The sequence below is a fragment of the Homo sapiens genome, chromosome 14 (assembly GCF_000001405.40).
Source record: "Homo sapiens chromosome 14, GRCh38.p14 Primary Assembly".
Lineage (NCBI taxonomy): Eukaryota > Metazoa > Chordata > Mammalia > Primates > Hominidae > Homo > Homo sapiens.
This window is the reverse complement of record NC_000014.9, coordinates 69189012-69207850: the sequence shown is the minus strand read 5'-3', so window position 1 is coordinate 69207850 and position 18839 is coordinate 69189012. Positions and strand designations below refer to the sequence as shown.

Genomic DNA, 18839 nt, shown 5'->3' with positions numbered 1-18839 from the left:
AGCAACCATTCGGCACAAGCTGATGATCCTGTGCAGGAAGAAGGCCCAGTGTGGTCAAATACTTTGCTTGTTTAAGATAAGTCAGGTATCTGAATTTTACATGAAATGTCACCATTTTTAAATGCTGGCAATAAACTTACAGTTTTAAAAAATATTGCGCCAGCCAAACAAAAACACCCTAGGCACACACCAGGCTACCCATCTGTGGCCTCTGGCCTAAAAGCTAAATTGCCCAAAGACAGAGCAATCAGCTGCACCCTGCCTATACTTCTCTATGGCTGAAGGTTTCCCACTGAATGTGTATGGTTTTTATTACTATTTAAAAGTTTCATCAATAACTTTAAATTTTTTTTTTATTAGATGGAGTCTCTCGCCGTCGCCCAGACCTGTGTGCAGTGGCATGATCTCGGCTCACTGCAGTATCCGCCTCCTGAGTTCAAGTGATTCTCCTGCCTCAGCCTCCCAAGCAGCTGGGACTACAGGGGTATGCCACCATACCCAGCTAATTTGTGTATTTTTAGTAGAGACAGGGTTTTACCATGTTGGCCAGGCTGGTCTTGAACTCCTGACCTCAAGTGATTCACCTGTCTCAGCCTCCCAAAATGCTGTGATTACAGGTGTGAGCCACTGCACTGGGCCAAAAAAAAAATTTCATATTTACAATAACTTCTGGATTATAATCATGCCTGTAGAGATATGTGAGTATTAGAGAAGAAAAACTGAATTACAACAATTATTAGAGTAATAATGAAAAGTGGTAATAGTTATGCTGTTTTAAAAACATTTACTTTATTCCAGAAACTGTGCTAAGAATTTCATATGTATTTTCTCCAGTGCTTTTATTGAAGAGGAAACTGAAGCTTAATGAGATTAAATAACTTGTGTAGAGAAACTGCTGATTAAGGTAATCTGAGAAGACATAAAAGTCCTTCCCTTTTCCACTCTAAACAATGCAAATGCTGGAGAAACCACTGAAAAGATAAAAATGTAAAACACAGTTAAGCCCCCAAAAGAAAGAAAGAAATCATCAGGTGCCAGAAAGGGAGGAGGAAACCCCAAGTGGGTGGAAGGCTGGGCGCAGTGGCTCATGCCTGTAATCCCAGCACTTTGGGAGGCCGAGGCAGGTGGACGGCTTGAGCCTAGGAGTTTGAGATCAGCCTGGGCAACATGGTGAAACCCCATCTACACCAAAAATATAAAAAATTAGCTGGGCGTGGTGGCACATGCCTTAAGTATCAGCTACTTGGGGGGCCTGAGGTGGGAGGATAGCTTGAGCCGGGGAGGTCAAGGCTACAGGAAGCTGTGATGGTGTGCCACTGCACCCACTGCACTCTAGCCTGGGTGAGAGAGTGAGACCCTATCTCAAAAAAAAAAAAAAAAAAAAAAAAAAAAAAAGTGGGTGGGTGGGAGATGAAGCTGGGCAGAGACCAGAACTCATGCCAGCCCCAGCGCTGGAGTATATCAGCAACCCAGAGGCAGAACTCTAGGCCACAGGCCCAAGACACAGCTGGAATCCAGGGGAGTGCCACCCTATCCACAAACCAGAAGTATTTACCCACCTTGGCCTGGGCAAGCCACCTGCCCCAGGCCAAAGGCATGAACAGAGTCCCTTGAAAGAGGAAAATTCCTCAGCTGGGTGCAGTGGCTCACACCTGTAATCCCAGCACTTTGGGAGGCCAAGGCGGACAGACAGCTTGAGCCCAGGAGTTTGAAATCAGCCTGGCCAACTTAGTGAAAGCCCGTCTCTCTACTAAAAACACAAAAATTAGCCAGGTGTGGTGGTGCATGCCTGTAATCCCAGCTACTCCAGAGGCTGAGGCATGAGAATCACTAGAACCTGGGAGGTGGAGATTGCAGTGAGCCAAGATCACGCCACTGCACTCCAACCTGGGCAACAGAGTGAGACTATGTCTCAAATAAAAATAAAAAATAAATTAAAAAATAAAAGACAAATCCTCAAGCCTACACTTCTCTATGGCTCAAGCAGATACAAGGCCCAAGTTCACATTATCCTCATAAAAGGGAACCCTAAGCCAAGAAATTGAATTTACACTGGTTCAGAACTGGTAAATTCTATTGGAACCAGGCAGAGTCTATCATAACACACACACACAAACACACCCCACATAGGAAACATACAGGACTACCATGGAAGATCAGTCCCTAGAAGGGGTCTCACAATGAATCACAACAAAACAAAATCCTAAAGCCAATAAAAATAGTGCATAGAGCCATCAAACAAAGATTTCCATACTTGAGATCTGAAAAGGACTTTAAAGAATATTCAGAGATATTAATGAAAATAATAACTAAAACAAAGACAAAAATATATACATTCTAGATATGAAAAATATTTATTAAAAATTTTTAAAAACTCAATACTCAATAGACAGGTTAAAATGTAGACCAGACATACAGAAAGAGTTAATGAATTGAAGAAAAAAATCTGAGGAAGTCACCAGAATGTAGTAGACAGATAAAGAGGGAGAAAACATACTGAGGCGAAGCATGGTGTCTCACGCCTGTAATCTCAACGCTTTGGGAGGCCGAGGTGGGAGCATCACTTGAGCCCAGGAGTTCAAGACCAACCTGGGCAACATAATGAGATCCCATCTTTACTAAAAAAAATTTTAAAACAGAAAGAATACACAACAAAGCAGAGACATGGGGAATGGACTGAGAAACTCCAATATTCATGGAATAAAGATTTGGAATGTATGAAGGGGGTCAGATTTGGTACTATTCTCTGAGCCCCAAGCTGGATAAATTAAATCTATTCACAAAAAGACTCATATAAGAATGTTCATAGCAGTTACTTATTTGTAACAGCCAAAAACTGGAAACAGCCTGTTGGCCTGAATGATTAATGTGTGACTGTTGGTTCATTCATTGTCTGTCCATGAGAACAGGAACCTTAACTGGCTTTGTTACCACCATTATCCCCAGTGACTAGCAGGGAGCTGATGATACTCAGTAAATATTTACTGAATGAATGAAATTCAGCTCAAGGTATTATATGTTAACATTTGTATGATAAATGTCTCTAATTCAATCACCAGATTACAACATTCTGTTTATTGAAATGAAAAAAGTTTTTTAACCTTATCGAGCCTTGATGTTATAAAGAGGTAGTATGGTTCAGTACTGGGTTGGGAGTCAGAAAAAAATTAAACTGTGGTAACAGTTTACTCTGGGATCCAAGCTTTTCGATCCCTCACTAAATCTCATCAGTGAAACAATCTGTCATTCTTAAGTTTTTTATATAAATTAACTGAACATAAAACTTTTTTTTTTAAGACAGAGTTTCACTCTGTTGCCCAGACTAGACTGCAGCACAATCACGGCTCACTGCAGCCTCGACCTCCTGGGCTCCCACTTCAGCCTCCTGAGTAGCTGGGGGTACAGGTGCATGCCACCATGCTCAGCACATTTTTTGATTTCTTGTAGAGATGCGGGTCACACTATATTGCCCAGGCTGGTCTCAAACTCCTAGGCTCAAGTGATCCTCCTGCCTCACCTTCCCAAAGTGCTCGGGTTATAGGTGTGAGCCTTATGCCTGGCTAAATATCAACGGCTACCTAATGATAGTAGGATTATTAACAATTTTTATTTTTCAAATTTTATACGAATATGTACATATTTGTAATTAGAAAAATACACTCTTTTTAAACTGGTGCTCTTTAGAGATAGGCAATCCCACTTGACAAAACACAGAATCATATTCTTGGAATAAATCACACTTTAATGAGTTAAATGATTATGTATAAAGTGTTTGAAATGCAGTATATGGTAGACAACACAAGACCTAACATCAAATAGCGTAGGCTTAAATCCAGCCTCTGTTACTCACTAGCTGTAGGAACTTAGCCAATTTGCCAAACTTCTCTAAGCCTCAGTTTCCTCATCTGCGAAACAGGAAGGACAGTCTCCTCATCTGTGAAATAGGAATACCATTATGTAGGATTACTGTGAGGCTTAAGTAAAATGATAAATAAAATTCACCTAGTATATTGGCTAGAACATTAGGATTCTATAAATGTTAGCTATTACTACAAAACCACAGAACTTCTATTAAAGGAAATCAAAAAATCAGAGTTAAAATTTTGGAGTCAAGTTCAGCTCCCACCCAATTCAAGAATCCTTTCCATGATAATCCCAACAGATCATGACCTAGTCTCTGACTGAATACTTCCAGTAACCGAGTTCATCACCTTCAGAGGCAGTTTTTGTTGAAAGTCCTTGCGTTCTATAAAAGTTTCCTGCTTACAAATTGCCCTCTTTGACAGCCTCTGCAATGACAAGTGTTTACTCCCTCCTTAAAGCCTGTTAAATAGGTGAAGAGAGCTCTGAGACTCCCCTTATAGTCTTCCTGTGACCTGGTTTATAGACTCTCCTGGCCAAGGCCTTCTGCACAGACCCAAGTTTGTTAATGTATCTCTTCAAATGTGGCATTCAGGTCTATACGCAATACTTGAAGCCAGGCATGATGGCTCAGGCCTGTAATCCCAGCACTTTGGGAGGCTGAGGTAGGCGGACTGCTTGAGCCCAGGAGTTCAAGACTACCTAGGGCAACATGGTGAAATCCCATCTCTACTTAAAAAAAAAAAAAAATTACAAAAAACTAGCCAGCCAGGCATGGTGGCATGCACCTATAGCCCCAGCTACTGAGGAGGCTGAGATGGGAGAATCACCTGAGCCTGGGAAGTCAAGACTGAAGTGAGCTGTGATCACACCACTGCTGTCCAGCCTAGGCAACAGGAGTGAGACCCTGCCTCAAACAAACAAACAAACAAACTTGAGACACGGTCTAACTGATGCAGGCTACAGTGATACTATTACTTCCCAGCAGCTGGATCCTATATTAATGCTGTATGAAATGATACATTTTTAAGTAACAGAATCTCATTGTTGGGTCATATAAAGCTTGTAGTAAATTAAAATTCACTGATGCCAAATCAAGTTCTTCATTTTATATATTTGTAATTTATATTTTGTACTTAAATCAAAAATCCTTCTTCTAAATTTCATCTTGTCTGTTTCAGCCAAATGTTTCATCTATTGAGGCCAATCTGCATCTTGATTATGCTTCCCTCTCAAACATAATTTTACATAAAAAACTGAATATTTGTTTTCAGAGAAAATAACATCTCCTAACATACGGTTTTATTAATTCATTTTTATTTGAAGAGGTTTTGTAAACTGCATTTTTTTTTCTTTTCCAGCCAAGGGATTCATTCAGCAAACTTTTTACACAACACATTATATAAGTCAGACACTGATAGACCCCGGGTAAAAAGAGTCGAAAGGCACAATCTGCCTTCGAAAAATTCATGATTTAGCCAAGGAAAAATACACGTAATGAACAAGTTGCAAAGAGTGGGATAACACCAACAAGTGAAGCACACACAAGTACATGAATGGCTTGGACTTGAGGAAAGAGTGGGGATATTGTTTTTATTTTTATTTATTTTTTTGAGACAGGGCCTCACTTTGTCACCCAGGCTACAGTGCCGTGGCATGATCTCAGCTCACTGCACCCTTGACCTCTTGGGTTCAAGTGATCCTCCCACCTCAACCCCCCCAAGTAGCTAGGACCAACCACAGGCACATGACAGCACCCCAACTAATATTTTGTATTTTTGGTAGAAACGGGGTTTTGCCAGGTTGCTTGGGCTGGTCTCAAACTCCTGAGCTCCAACACCCGCTAATATTTTATATTTTTGGTAGAAACGGGGTTTCGCCAGGTTGCCCAGGCTGGTCTTGAACTCCTGAGCTCAAGCGATCTGCCCACATCAACCTCCCAAAGTGCTAGGATTACAGGCATGAACACCACACCTGGCCGAGTTGGGGTATTATTAAGAGAAAACATGGCTGAGTGCGGTGGCTCACACCTGTAATCCCAGCACTTTGGGAGGCCGAGGCAGGTGGAATACCTGAGGTCAGGAGTTCAACACCAGCTGACCAATATGGTGAAACCCCATCTCTACTAAGATTACAAAAATTAGCCGGGTGTGGTGGTGTGCGCCTGCACTCCCAGCTACTCAGGAGGCTGAGGCAGAAGAATCGCTTGAACCCGGGAGGCGGAGCTTGCAGTAAGCCGAGATTGCACCACTGTGCTCCAGCCTGGGCAACAGAGCAAGACTCTGTCTCAAAAAAAAAAAAAAAAAAAAAAAAAAAACAGAGAAAACACTTGCTGAGAGAGACGGTGTCTGAGACTGGCATTCAAACAGGAGCAAGAGTTCTCCAGGTGCAGGAGCCAGACAGGAGGAGGGCACTGCAAGTGGAGGGAACAGCTTGTGCACAAATGGGAAGGGCAGGAAGCACCACAGGATAGGTGAAACATTTAAACAACTGTAAAATGTAGGTGGGCACAGTGGCTCATGCCTGTAATCCCAGTAGTTTGGGAGGCCAAGGTGGGAGGATCACCTGAGATCAGGAGTTTGAGACCGGCCTAGTCAGCATGGTGAAACCCCATCTTTAATAAAAATTCAAAAATTAGCCAGGCATTGTGGCATGTGCTTGTAGTCCCAGTTACTCAGGAGGCTGAGACATGAGAATCACTTGAACCCAGGAGGCGGAGGTTGCAGTGAGCTGAGATCATAACACTGCACTCCAGCCTGGGGGACAGAGTAAGACTCCATCACAAAAACAAAAACAAACAAAAAAAACCAACGTAAGATGTATTATACATGTAAAATATACACCAAATTTTTGAATACTTACTACAAAAAAAGGATGTAAACTTTTTATAATTTCCATACTGATTTTTTTTTTTTGAGATGGAGTTTTGCTCTTGTCACTCCGGCTGGAGTGCAATGGCACGATCTCAGCTCACTGCAACTTCTGCCTCCCGAGTTCAAGCAATTCTCCTGCCTCAGCCTCCCAAGTAGCTAGGACTACAGATGCCCGCCACCACACCCGGTTAATTTTTGTATTTTTAGTAGACACGGGGTTTTACCATGTTGGCCAGGCTGGTCTCGAACTCCTGACCTCAGGTGATCCACCCACCTCGGCCTCCCAAAGTGCTGAGATTACAGGCGTGAGCCACCACGCCTGGCCTCATACTGATTTTTATGGTGACTTCTTTATCGTGGTAAAATATATATAACATAACATTTACCATTTTAGCCTTTTTTTTTTTGGAGACAAGGTCTGGCTCTATCGCAAAGGCTGGAGTGCAGTGGCGCGATCTTGGCTCACTGCAACCTCCACCTCCTGAGCTCAAGCCATCCTCCCATCTTAGCCTCCCAAGTAGCTGGGACTACAGGTAGTCCCCACGATGCCTGGGTAATTTTTTTTTTGTATTATTTTTGTAGAGATGGGGTTTCACAATGTTGCCCGGGCTGGTCTCAGATTCGTGAGCTCAAGCGATCCCCTAGACTCGGCCTCCCAAAGTGCTGGGATTACAGGCCTGAGCCACCACGCCTGGCCCATTTTAGCCATTTTTAAGTGTACAATTCAATGACAATAAGTACATTCACACTGCTGTGCAACCATCACCATCACCCATTTCCAGAACAACTTCATCCTTGCAAATAGAAACTGTAATTCAACAAGAATTCCCATTCTCTTCTAACCCCTGATAAGCCCTATTATACCTTCTATCACTATGAATTCCATATTGATTTTTTAATATTTATGTTGAAATAATGCTTGGAATATACTGGGTTCAATATAGTCATGTGCTGTATAACAATGTTTCGGTCAACAACAGATGACACATACAATAGTTCTACAAAATTATAAGATTACAATGGTGCAGAAAAATTCCTATTGCCTAGTGACATCATAGCCATCCTAACCGTCCTAACGTTGCTGCACAATGCGTTACTCACAAATGTGTGTAATTATGCTGGAGTTAACGAACCTACAGCACAGCCAGTCGTATAAAAGTATAGCACATGCAATTATGTATAGCACATACCTGATAACGACAATAAACGACTATGTTACTGGTTTATTTATTTACCATATTTTTTATTTTACGGTGTACTCCTTCTACTTATAAAAAAAATTAACTGTAAAGCAACCTCAGGCAGCTCCTTCCGAAGTTATTCCAGAAGGCATTGTTATCATAGATACAGCTCCATGCCTGTTATTGCCCCTGAAGACTTTCCAGTGGGACAAGATGTGGAGGTGGAAGACAGTGATATTGATGATCCTGACTCTGTGTATGTCTAAGCTAACATGAATGTATGTGTTTGTGTCTTAGTTTTTAACAAAAAAGTTTAAAAAGGTAAAAAAAAAAAAATTTTAAGTTGAAAAGAGCTTATAAAGAGATAAACATTTTTATACAGCTGTACAACATATTTGTGTCTTAAGCTGAGTGTTATTACAAGTCAAAAAGTTAAAACAATTAAAAAGTTTATAAAATAAAAAAGTTATAGTAAACTAAGGTTAACTTATTATTCCAAAAAAATTTTAAATAATTTGAGTGTAGCCTAAATACACACGTGTTTATAAGATCTAAAGTAGTGTACAGTCACGTCCTAAGCCTTCACATTCACCCACCACTCACTCACAGGTTCACCCAGAGCAACTTCCAGTCCTGCAAGCTCCATGCATGGTAGATACCCTACATAAGTGTAACACTATTTATCTTTTCTTGAGACGGAGTCTCACTCTGTTGCCCAGGCTGGTGTGCAGTGGCGTGATCTCGGCTCACTGCAAACTCTGCCTCCCAAGTTCAAGCGATTCTCCTGCCTCAGCCTCCTGAGTAGCCGGGGCTACAGGCGTGTGCCACCACACAAGACTATTTTTTAAATTTTTAGTAGAGACGGGGTTTCACCATGTTGGCCAGGCTGGTCTCGAACTCCTGACCTCAGGTGATCTGCCCGCCTCAGCCTCCCAAAGTACTGGGATTATAGGCGTGAGCCTCCATGCCCGGCCCACTGTTTAGCTTTTATACCACATTTTTACTGTACTTTTATGTTTAGGTATGTTTAGATACACAAATACTTACCACTGTGTTACAACTGCCTACAGGACTCAGTACAATAACATGCCATATAGGTCTATAGCCTAGGAGTAATAAGCTATACCATACAGCCTAGGTGTGTAGTCAGCTATTCCATCTAGGTTCGTGTAAGTGTGCTCTATCGTGTTCACAAAATGACACATTTCACAGAACAGATCCTCATTAAGTGATGCCATTACTACAGTTCACCTTGTTTCTTTTTATATCTTTAATGTGGCTACTAGAAAATTTTAAATTGGGGCTCACATTCTACTTCTAATGGACACTACTGTGCTAAAATATAATGTGCAAGTAAGGAAATAGAGATGATGCTGGAATGAGTAGATACAGGACAAGTCATGAGGGGCCATCATTATCCTACAGGACACTGGAGAGCAAATAACAGACTTATAAGGAGAGTGACAGGATGAGACCACCATGGTACTAATGTGGGTGCTAGCCTGGAGGAGAGCAAGGCCGTAGGCAGAGAGACCTGTTAGAAGCTCATAAAGCAGAGCGGAGAGGCAAAGAATACTCGAATTATGGCAGAGGAATGTAGAATGAAAAAGAACCACAGCTCCTGAACAGAATGACTGCATCACAACCACCTGGAAAAACAACAAAGTCATCAACCAACTTTTAGAAATTATATGGTAATTCAGAAAGTCTGATGAGTATAAAATCAATAGCTTTCCAAACCTATTATAAAAATGTGAAAAAAGAAATCTCATTCATAATAGCAATATACCTGTATACTATTTTAAAACTACATAAAAAAACCACATAATCACATACACAAGTCTAGGAAAGAATTCAACAAGAAATGTGTCAGATCAATACAAAGAGGAACAGAAAACTTTAGTGAAGATCTAGAAGAAGACCAGAAGAGTGGAGATGTATGATAGCAGCTGTCAAACAGGACCAATCATGTGCCAGGCACTTTACATGTACATATATACTCATATTAAAGTATTCATTTAATCCTTTCAATAACCCTATGTGGGAGGTACTATAATTATCCTATTTTTGATAAGAAGAAAAGATTGTTTTATAGAAATACTCAAAATAATATGTAAATTCAATACAAACTTCATTTTAAAAAACTTTTTAAAAGAATGAATTGACTGTGTGCAGATGAGAAAAATGGATGCAGCAACATGGATCAGCTGGAGGCCACGACCTGAGTGAATTAATGCAGGAACAGAAAACCAAATACTGCGTGTTCTCACTTGTAAGTGCAGCTAAACACCCAGTACACATGGACATAAAGACGGGAACAACAGACACTGGGGACTACCAGAGGGGAGGGGAAGACAGGGAAGGGGGCCGCAGGCTGAAAAACGACCTATACCCAATACCTGAGTGAAGGACTCATCCATACCCCAAACTCCAGCATAACATGTTACCCATGTAACAAACCTGCACATGTACCACCCTGAATTTAAAATAAAAGTTGAAATTATAAAAAAAAAAGAATGAATCAACCATCGAGACAGCGAAAAGACAACCCACAGAATGGGAAAAAATATTTACAAATCATATATTTGGGAAGGGTGTGTATCTAGAATACACAAAAATCTCTTACCACCAAATAATAAAAAGACAGACCAATTTAAAAACTGGCTAAGAATCTGAATAGGTATTTCTGTTCTTTATTTTTTAATATATTTTTTAGAGACGAGATCTGGCTCTGTTGCCCAGGCTGCAGTGCAGTGATGCAATCACAGCTCACGACAGCCTCAAACTCCTGGGCTCAAGTGATCCTTCTGCCTCAGCCTCTTGACTACAAGTGTGCTAACTGAACAGACAAGTCCAGCTAACTGAATAGACATTTCCTGATAGAGGGTATACAAATGGCCAATAAGCACTTGAAAAGATGTTCAATATCATGAGCTGTTAGGGAAATGCAAATCCAAACCACAATCAGATACCACTTTACACCAAGTAGGATGGTTCTATTCAAAAAAACAAATAAGGCCAAGTATGGTGGTGCACACCTGTAATTCCAGCACTCTGATCCAAGGTGGGAGGATCACTTGACGCCAGGAATTTGAGACTAGCCTGGGCAACATAGTGAGACCCTGCCTCAAAAAAAAAAAAAATTAATTGGCCAGGAGTGGTAGTGTGCCTATAGACTTAGCTACTTGGGAGGCTGAGGCAGGAGGATTGCTTGAGTTCAGGAGTTTGAGGCTGCAGTAAGCTTTGATCACTCCACTGCACTCCAGCCTGGTCAACAGAGTAAGACCCTGTCTCTCAAAAAAAAAAAAAAAAAGTGCTGGCAATAATGTGGAGAAATTAGAAATCTCATGCATTGTTGGTGGGAATGTCAAATGGTACAGCTGCTCTGGAACACAGTCTGGCAGTTATATAACCTAGCAATGCCACTGGCAGGTATATACCCAAGGGAAATGAAAACACATGTCCGTACTAAAGTTCATAGCTATTCATAATAGCCCAAAAGTGGAAACAACTCAAATGTCAATTAGTTGATGAACAGATAAATAAAATGTAGCATATCCGTATGTTATGAGTTGAATCGTATTCCCCAAAAAGATATGTTGAAGGTCTAACCCCCAGGACCTGTGAATGTGACCTTATTTGAAAATAGGGTCTTCGCAGATGTAATCAAGTTAACATGAGGTCATACTGAAGTAGGGTGCGCCCTTAATCAACTATGACTTGTGTCCTTACAGGAGGAGGAGAAGAAACAGGCTTACGCTGAGCGAATCCAATGTGCAGACAGACACACAGGGAAGGTGACCATTTGAAGACGGAGGCAGAAACTGAAGTTGTGCAACTGCAAACCAAGAAATGCCATGGATTGCCAACAACCACCAGGAACTAGAAGAGGCAAGGTAGGATTCTCCCCTAGAGCCTTCAGGAAGAGCACAACCCTGCTGACACCTTAATTTTGAACTTCTAGCTTCCTTAACTGCGAGAGAATAAACCTCTGTTGTTTTAAGTCAGCAGTTTGTGTTACTTTGACCACAGCCCTACAAAATAAATATACCACAGGATGAAATTTCATTCAGTAATAAAAAGAATGAAGTACTGAAACATGCTATAGCATGGAAGAATCTTCAGTACATTATCCTAAGTTAAAGCAGTCAGTCACAAAAGACTACACATTGTATGATTCCTTTTACACAAAACACCCAGATCTCGAAAGACAGAAATATTAGTGGTTGCCTAGGGCTGGGGTCTCAGGGGAGTCAGGGATAGGGACTGACTTCTAATTGGTATGGGTTTCTTTTTGGGGTGATAAAAATGTTCTAAAATTAGACTACGGTGATGTTTGCACGACTCTATGAATATACTAAAATCATTAAATTGTACACTTTGAAGAATTGTATGGTGTGTGAATTACTTCTCAATAAAGCCATTAAAAAATGATTTGGAGCTGCGTGTGGTGGTTCACACCTGTAATCCCAGCATTTTGGAAGGCCAAGGCGGGTGAGTCACTTGAACCCAGGAGTTCAAGACCAGCCTGCGCAGCATGGTGAAACTTCATCTCTATAAACAATACAAAAATTAGCCAGTGTGGTGGTACACACCTGTAGTCCCAGCTACTTGGGGGGCTGAGGCAGGAGGATCACTCGAGCCCAGGAGGTCAAGGCTGCCACTGCACTCCAGCTGAGTGACAGAGTGAGACCTCATCTCTCTTTTTTTTTTTTTTTTGAGACAGAGTCTCGCTCTGTTACTCAGGCTGGAGTGCAGTGGTGCAATTTCAGCTCACTGCAACCTCTGCCTTCTGGGTTCAAGTGATTTTCCTGCCTCAGCCTCCTGAGTAGCTGGGATTACAGGCGCACACCATCACGCCCGGCTAATTTTTGTATTTTTAGTAGAGACTGGGTTTCACCATGTTGGTCAGGCTGGTCTCAAACTCTTGACCTGGTGATCCGCCCGTCTCAACCACCCAAAGTGCTGGGATTACAGGCGTAAGCCACCGCGCCCGGCTCCCATCTCTTAAAAGAAAAAAATAATTGACAAGTTGACTGTAAAATTAATCTGGAAAAGAAACTAATAATAACCAAAAATATTGTTTTTTAAATGAGAGTACATGAGCTGATATAGTATATGACTTCCAATAAAATAATAATCATGATGGAGTATTTACCCTATTAATGTCAACATATAACATATAGTTTAATATAGGATGTTGTGGTATTGGTCCAGCAAAATAGAAAAGTATGCCATAGAACAGAAGACAGTCTAGAAACAGATCCTGTATGATAAATGAGCACATGAGGCCAGGCGAGGTGGCTCATGTCCATAATTCCAGAACTTTGGGAGGCTGATGGGGGAGAATCTCCTGAGGCCAGGAGTTTGAGACCAGCCTGAACAACATAGCAAAAACTCATCTCTATCTCTACAAATAAAAATTAAAAAGAAAAAAAAGAAATTAGTACATGGTAAGTGTGGCATTTCGGATTAATGGTTCAAGAATGGACTGACTAGGCCGGGCGCGGTGGCTCACACCTGTAATCCCAGCACTTTGGGAGGCCGAGGCAGGTGGATCACGAGGTCAGGAGATCGAGACCATCCTAGCAAACACGGTGAAACCCCATCTCTACTAAAAATACAAAAAATTAGCCAAGCGAGGTGGTGGGCGCCTGTAGTCCCAGCTACTTGGGAGGCTGAGGCAGGAGAATGGCATGAACTCGGGAGGCAGAGGTTGCAGTGAGCTGAGATCGCGCCACTGCACTCCAGCCTGGGCGACACAGCGAGACTCTGACTCAAAAAAAAAAAAAAGAATGGACTGACTGTTCGAGGTGACAGTATTTGGAAAACAACAATCACACACACACAATTCCAGAGGAATTAAAGAAAAAAAACTATTCCCACAAGAAGAACTTCAAGGAGAAAACAGAGCTTTAGGAGAAAACCCTCCTCTCTCTAAAAGTAGAGAAGGATTTTTCAACTTCAGCACAACTGACATTTTTGGCTGGTGAAATTCTTTGTTGTGGGAAGCTTTCCCGTGCGCTGTAGGATGTTTAGCAGCACCCTCGCTTTTACTCACTAGATAACCAATAGCAGCACCATCCTAGTGGAACAAACAAAAAATGTTTACAGACATTGCCAAATAACCCCGAGAGCAAAAATCTCTGCCATTTAAGAACCACTCGGATTGGGAATGATAGCCACAAAATACAAACACACACATAACAGACTGATAAATTAAAACCTAAAATTTTAAACTTTGTTTCAACAAAGATGCCATATAGTTAAAAGACAAGCAACAACTTAAAAAAGCAATAAGCAGGGAGTAAATATTATAAACACATATGAATAACAAAAGATCAAAATCCAGAACATATAAAATACTATTATAAATCAATAAGGAAAAGACAATCCAATAGAAAGAGATGTTTCTCAAAAGAGGAAATACAAATGGCTGACAATCATGAAGATGTTCAATCTCAATAGTAATCAGGGGAATGCAAATTAAAACAGCAAAGAGAAATCACTTTTCCATCCATCAGATTGGCAAAAACAAAAAAGATCGATACCATTAAATGATCAAAAGAGCATGGTGGGCCAGACACGGTGGCTCACGCCTGTAATCCCATCACTTCGGGAGGCCAAGGCAGGCGGATCACTCGAGTTTAGGAGTTTGAGACCAGCCTGGCAAATACGGTGAAACCCCGTCTCTACTAAAAATACAAAAATTAGCCAGGCGTGGTAGCGGGTGCCTGTAATACCAGCTACTCGGGAGGCTGAGGCAGGAGAATCGCTTGAACCTGGGAGGCAGAGGCTGCAGTGAGCTGAGATCACGCCACTGCACTCCAACCTGGGCAACAGAGCAAGACTCTGTCTCAAAAAAAAAAAAAAAAGAGAGAGAGAATGGAGGAAATTATTATCCACCGTGGGTGGCAGTTTGGCATTCCTAAATCCCCATACTCTCCCACCCAGCAATTCCACCTGCAGGTACCCATCCTTGAGAAATGCTCTCACATGGGCTCTCACAGAGGTGTGTGGGAAGGATGTTCTCCGCCATACTGTGTCTAACAATGAAAAACTGGAAACAATCTATGGAATCTTACATAACCATGGAATTTACAGAGCAAGTAGAAAGAATAGGTAGATCTCTAGGTACTGACAAAGAAAAAATTCCAAGACCCGTTTTTAAGCATAAAACGTCAAGTTGTGTAATGCATAAAACATGCATATTTGTAAAAGTTTAAAGCGAAATCTTACAAACATATATCTTATACGTACACATACTTGTCAAATAAATGCAAAGAAAAATACACACAAACTGACAACAGTTCTTATTTTGTGGGAAAGGGACTGGTAAAGAAGGTGGAGATGGAAAAAAACAAAATCAAAGAGGATCTGTCTTCCACACTCCCCACCCTCACCACCAAGAACATCAAGCTAAGAAAGATCTGTGTTTAAAATTTTTACATAATTTTGTTACAAGGCTTTATGCACGGACTATAACTAGAATATTTTAAAAATACATTTTTAAAACAAGCTCAACTTGACCAAATTTAATCCATCTTCCCCGCTGCGCCCCAACCCGCACTTCCTAATTCCTATGATTAACAAAACCTTTCAATTCCTTCTATCCTTGGAACAGAACTAAGAAAATAAAGTATAATTTCAATTTTGTGTTTTTGAGGAGAGGGTATATAAAGGAGTTTGAATGTTGGAATCATATCAAAAGCTTATCGGGGGATTGGTTTGTTTGTATTTTAAGGAGCAGATGTCAATTTTGTAATAAATAATGATTAAGGTTCTTAGTTTTGATCCATCCCAGGGATGTGAAAAGCCAAAGAGGTGGCTCCCGGCAAGGCCCAGAGCAGGGTGTGGTCTGGGAGGACAGGGATGGTAGCGAGGGTGGCGGCTCACACGAATCCAGGAGAGAAAACAGCAGCTGTTGCCGCGTCGAACCCGCAGCGCCCGAGGAGCTACCAGGTGCCGCGGGCGGGGCCTCCTTTTTAGCTGACTGGGACACGCAGCCTCGAAGGTCTGGTAGAGTCTCCCAGGGAGAGGGTAAGGGGGTCGAAAGGAGAGGCCCAAGGAGGGCGTGGGAGGCCGCGGGCAGGGGTGAGGCCCTCCTTGCGCACCTGGGTGCTGAACCGCCCCGCCGTGTGCGACGGGGGCGAGGGGGTCACGCCGAGGGGCGGGGAGAGGGGCAGGGCCAACTCGCTCCGGGACAGCGGGGGCCCCGCAATGTCACCCCCGTACACGGTAATATCCCCCCGCTCCACGACCCCTCTTAGTCTGCACTGGAAGCACCCCCTGCCCCGCGCACAATCCTGGTGCAAGGCTTCGCCGGCTTCTGAGCCTCACTTACCTGCTGTCTCGGACTGGGCCGCACACCTGCAGCGGGCTCACGTTAAAGACCTGGAACCTGTGCGGCCGCCTGCGCGCACCCACCCGGATTCACTAGGGCCGTAACCACTTCCGTTCCTGCGACAGGCCTGGAGGACGTAATCCCAGCTGGCGTGTGGGAACGGGCAACGCCATTTTGTACGGAAGCTACTGGGGCAGGTGATGCCTACCCAGTCTCTCTCCTCTGTTGAACAAAGGATCTGTTAAAATTGGAAGGGCTTAACGTCTTCTTCAGAAAAGTGACGCATTTGTTACTGGGATGGTATGTTTGTGTTTTGGTTTTGGCTTTGAAGGGAGAAACCTCCAGAACTCTCACAAATGTAATATGGGACATCGAATTTTCCTTCTTTAGTATCCTGCGTACTGTTTTTCTGCTAAACGATAACAGTAAATAGAAGGAAAGACACTGTATTTAAATAATGTAGTCTTCATTAGCAGTGCACATTATCCTATAGCCACTATAATAATTTTATGTACCCTCCTTTTTTTTTTTTTTTTTTTTTTTTGTAGATACTGTCTCCCTACATTGCCTAGGCTGGTCTCGAACTCCTGGGCTCAAGCGAACCTCACAACTCGGCCTCCCAAAGTGCTGGGATTACAGGCGTGAATGCCCAACCTATGCCATCTTTTATAGCGATAACCACAATACTTTTTGTTTATATATTAAATCGTTCATCCAATCAGTCTTTATTAGCAATTATATGTGAGGCAGTTAATCTGTGCTACATGCATGCTTTTCCTTTCTCATGGAATGTGTAAAACAGAAGGAGAAATGAGATGTGCATAAATAACCAATATAAGGTATAATAATAGCTACCATTTGTTGACTTTGTGCTCACCTGTTGCTAGGAACTTTGCAAAGCATTTTACTTATTTTTTCTCCTTTAATCCCCATAACAACCCTGTGAGGCAGTACTATTATTAGTGCCGTTTTACATAAAATAGAAAAAGGTTAAATAACTTCCTCAAGGTAATTCAGCAAGTAAGCACCGGAGTTAGGAATCAAACCTCATATTTCTGATTGCAGAGCATGTGGCCCCATCCTTTATACTATATTGCCTTCAATACAGGGGCAAATGTTTTAAATTCCATTGAATGAGTACCCATGGGGGAAATTTCCAGCTATTATAGAGGATTAACTCCCTGAATTTTTATCTGCTCCATCTTGAAACACTTAAAAAACAAAGGATAAAGAGGAAATGCAAATTAAAACCACAATGAGATATAGCTAAATGAAAAAGAAAATGTCAAGTATTGGCAAGATTGTGGAGCAACCACAACTCTCATATGCTCCTGAAGGGAACATAAATTGATGCAATCACTTTGTTTAACTGTTTGGCGGTATCAACTGAATCTGAATATGTGAAAAGACTTTGTTCCAACAATTTCACCCCTAGCTGGGGCACAGTGGCTCAACGTGTCATCCCAGCACTTTAGGGATTTTCACTGTGTTGCCCAGGCTGGTCTTGAACTCCTGGCCTCAAGCGATCCTCCCACCTCGGCCTCCCAAAGTGCTGGGCATCATGGTGTGCACCTGTAGTCCCAGCTACTCCAGAAGCTTAGGCAGGAGGACGTCTTGATCCCTGGAGTTTGAGGCTGCAGTGAGTTGTGATCACACCACTGCAGTCCAGCATAGGTGACAGAGCTAGACCCTGTCTCGAAAACAAAAACAACAAAAAACAATTTTACTCCTAGTTATATATATGCAACTGAAATGTCTGCATGTATTCACCAAAAGGACATGTACAAAAAAAAGCTCATACCCATACTTTCAACAGCCCCAAACGGGAAACTACCCAAATATCCCTGCTATTAGAAGTCACTGTATATAATGATTAATCTTAGGGTAGTAATAACTGGAAGGGAACATGAGGAGGTTCACGAAGTGCTGATAATGTTCTATTTCTTAATCTGAGTGCGGCTTTACATGTGTGTTCAGGTTATATTTGTGAGCACTTTTCTGGTTTCATATATACTTCGATAAAAGGGTTTTTAAAAATGATAGTAAAGGAGTGAAAAGTTTGTTAACCCAAAGAAGAAAGAACAGGAAAGGACATAGTACCAAACTAAAAAAAAAGATACAATTTTAAAAGATAGAAATTAGATTAGAATGGCAGATACATTGTATGCTTGTATCAAAATATCTCATGTACCCCATAAATATGTACATCTACTGTGTGCCCACAAAAATTAATAATTAAAAACAAAAAGAATAGCAGAATATTGACATTTGGAGGATTTCATAAAGAACTGTCTGGGTTCACAAGCAATCACTCTACATTAAGGCCCAGTCAACAAGACTCATCTGTGCATACAGAATTTCTAATCAGCTTTTAAAATACAGTTTCTCACTTTTAAATATGAGAAGACATCCAAGAATCACCAGTCATTATGGGAATGTCTGACATAATTAATTAACCTTTTCTAAGGAGCATGTATAGAACTATGTAAAGAACCCTCCATTCCTGAGGAAGACAAAGAAAAGAACTATGTCCTCAACGATGTGAAAACACAAATTGTTCTCAAATATACTTTTCACATT

At 41.7% G+C, this 18839-nt stretch overlaps 1 protein-coding gene and 1 long non-coding RNA gene across 12 annotated transcripts in view, besides 1 other annotated feature; one reads left to right on the top strand and one right to left on the bottom strand.

Annotated features, from left to right (window-relative positions):
- Window positions 1-16353, bottom strand: part of EXD2 (exonuclease 3'-5' domain containing 2) — a 52521-nt gene extending 36168 nt beyond the window's left edge. For 3 of the 9 annotated variants that reach the window (NR_034164.2, NM_001193360.2, XM_017021421.3), the window contains exons 1-2: window positions 16260-16353; window positions 3851-3934 (exon numbers count right to left, since the gene is read on the bottom strand). The gene's annotated coding sequence lies outside the window, so the exon portion shown is untranslated. Of the gene's footprint in view, window positions 1-3850; window positions 3935-15811; window positions 16081-16259 lie in introns of those variants that run through there. The other 6 variants (NR_034165.2, NM_001193362.2, NM_001193361.2 and 3 more) reach the window with 3 other exon arrangements.
- GALNT16-AS1 (GALNT16 and EXD2 antisense RNA 1) overlaps window positions 1-18839 on the top strand; it is a 77510-nt gene that overhangs the window by 52677 nt on the left and 5994 nt on the right. For 2 of the 3 annotated variants that reach the window (NR_184249.1, NR_184252.1), the window contains exon 3: window positions 11650-11811. This is a non-coding gene — a long non-coding RNA (GALNT16 and EXD2 antisense RNA 1). Of the gene's footprint in view, window positions 1-11649; window positions 12350-18839 lie in introns of those variants that run through there. The other variant, NR_184250.1, reaches the window with a different exon arrangement.
- Window positions 15943-16132: a silencer, noted in NCBI's record as "silent region_5879". NCBI's record gives its function as "represses an Ori minimal core promoter by ATAC-STARR-seq in GM12878 lymphoblastoid cells {active_cell/tissue: GM12878}" and the evidence as "EXISTENCE:reporter gene assay evidence [ECO:0000049][PMID:35858748]".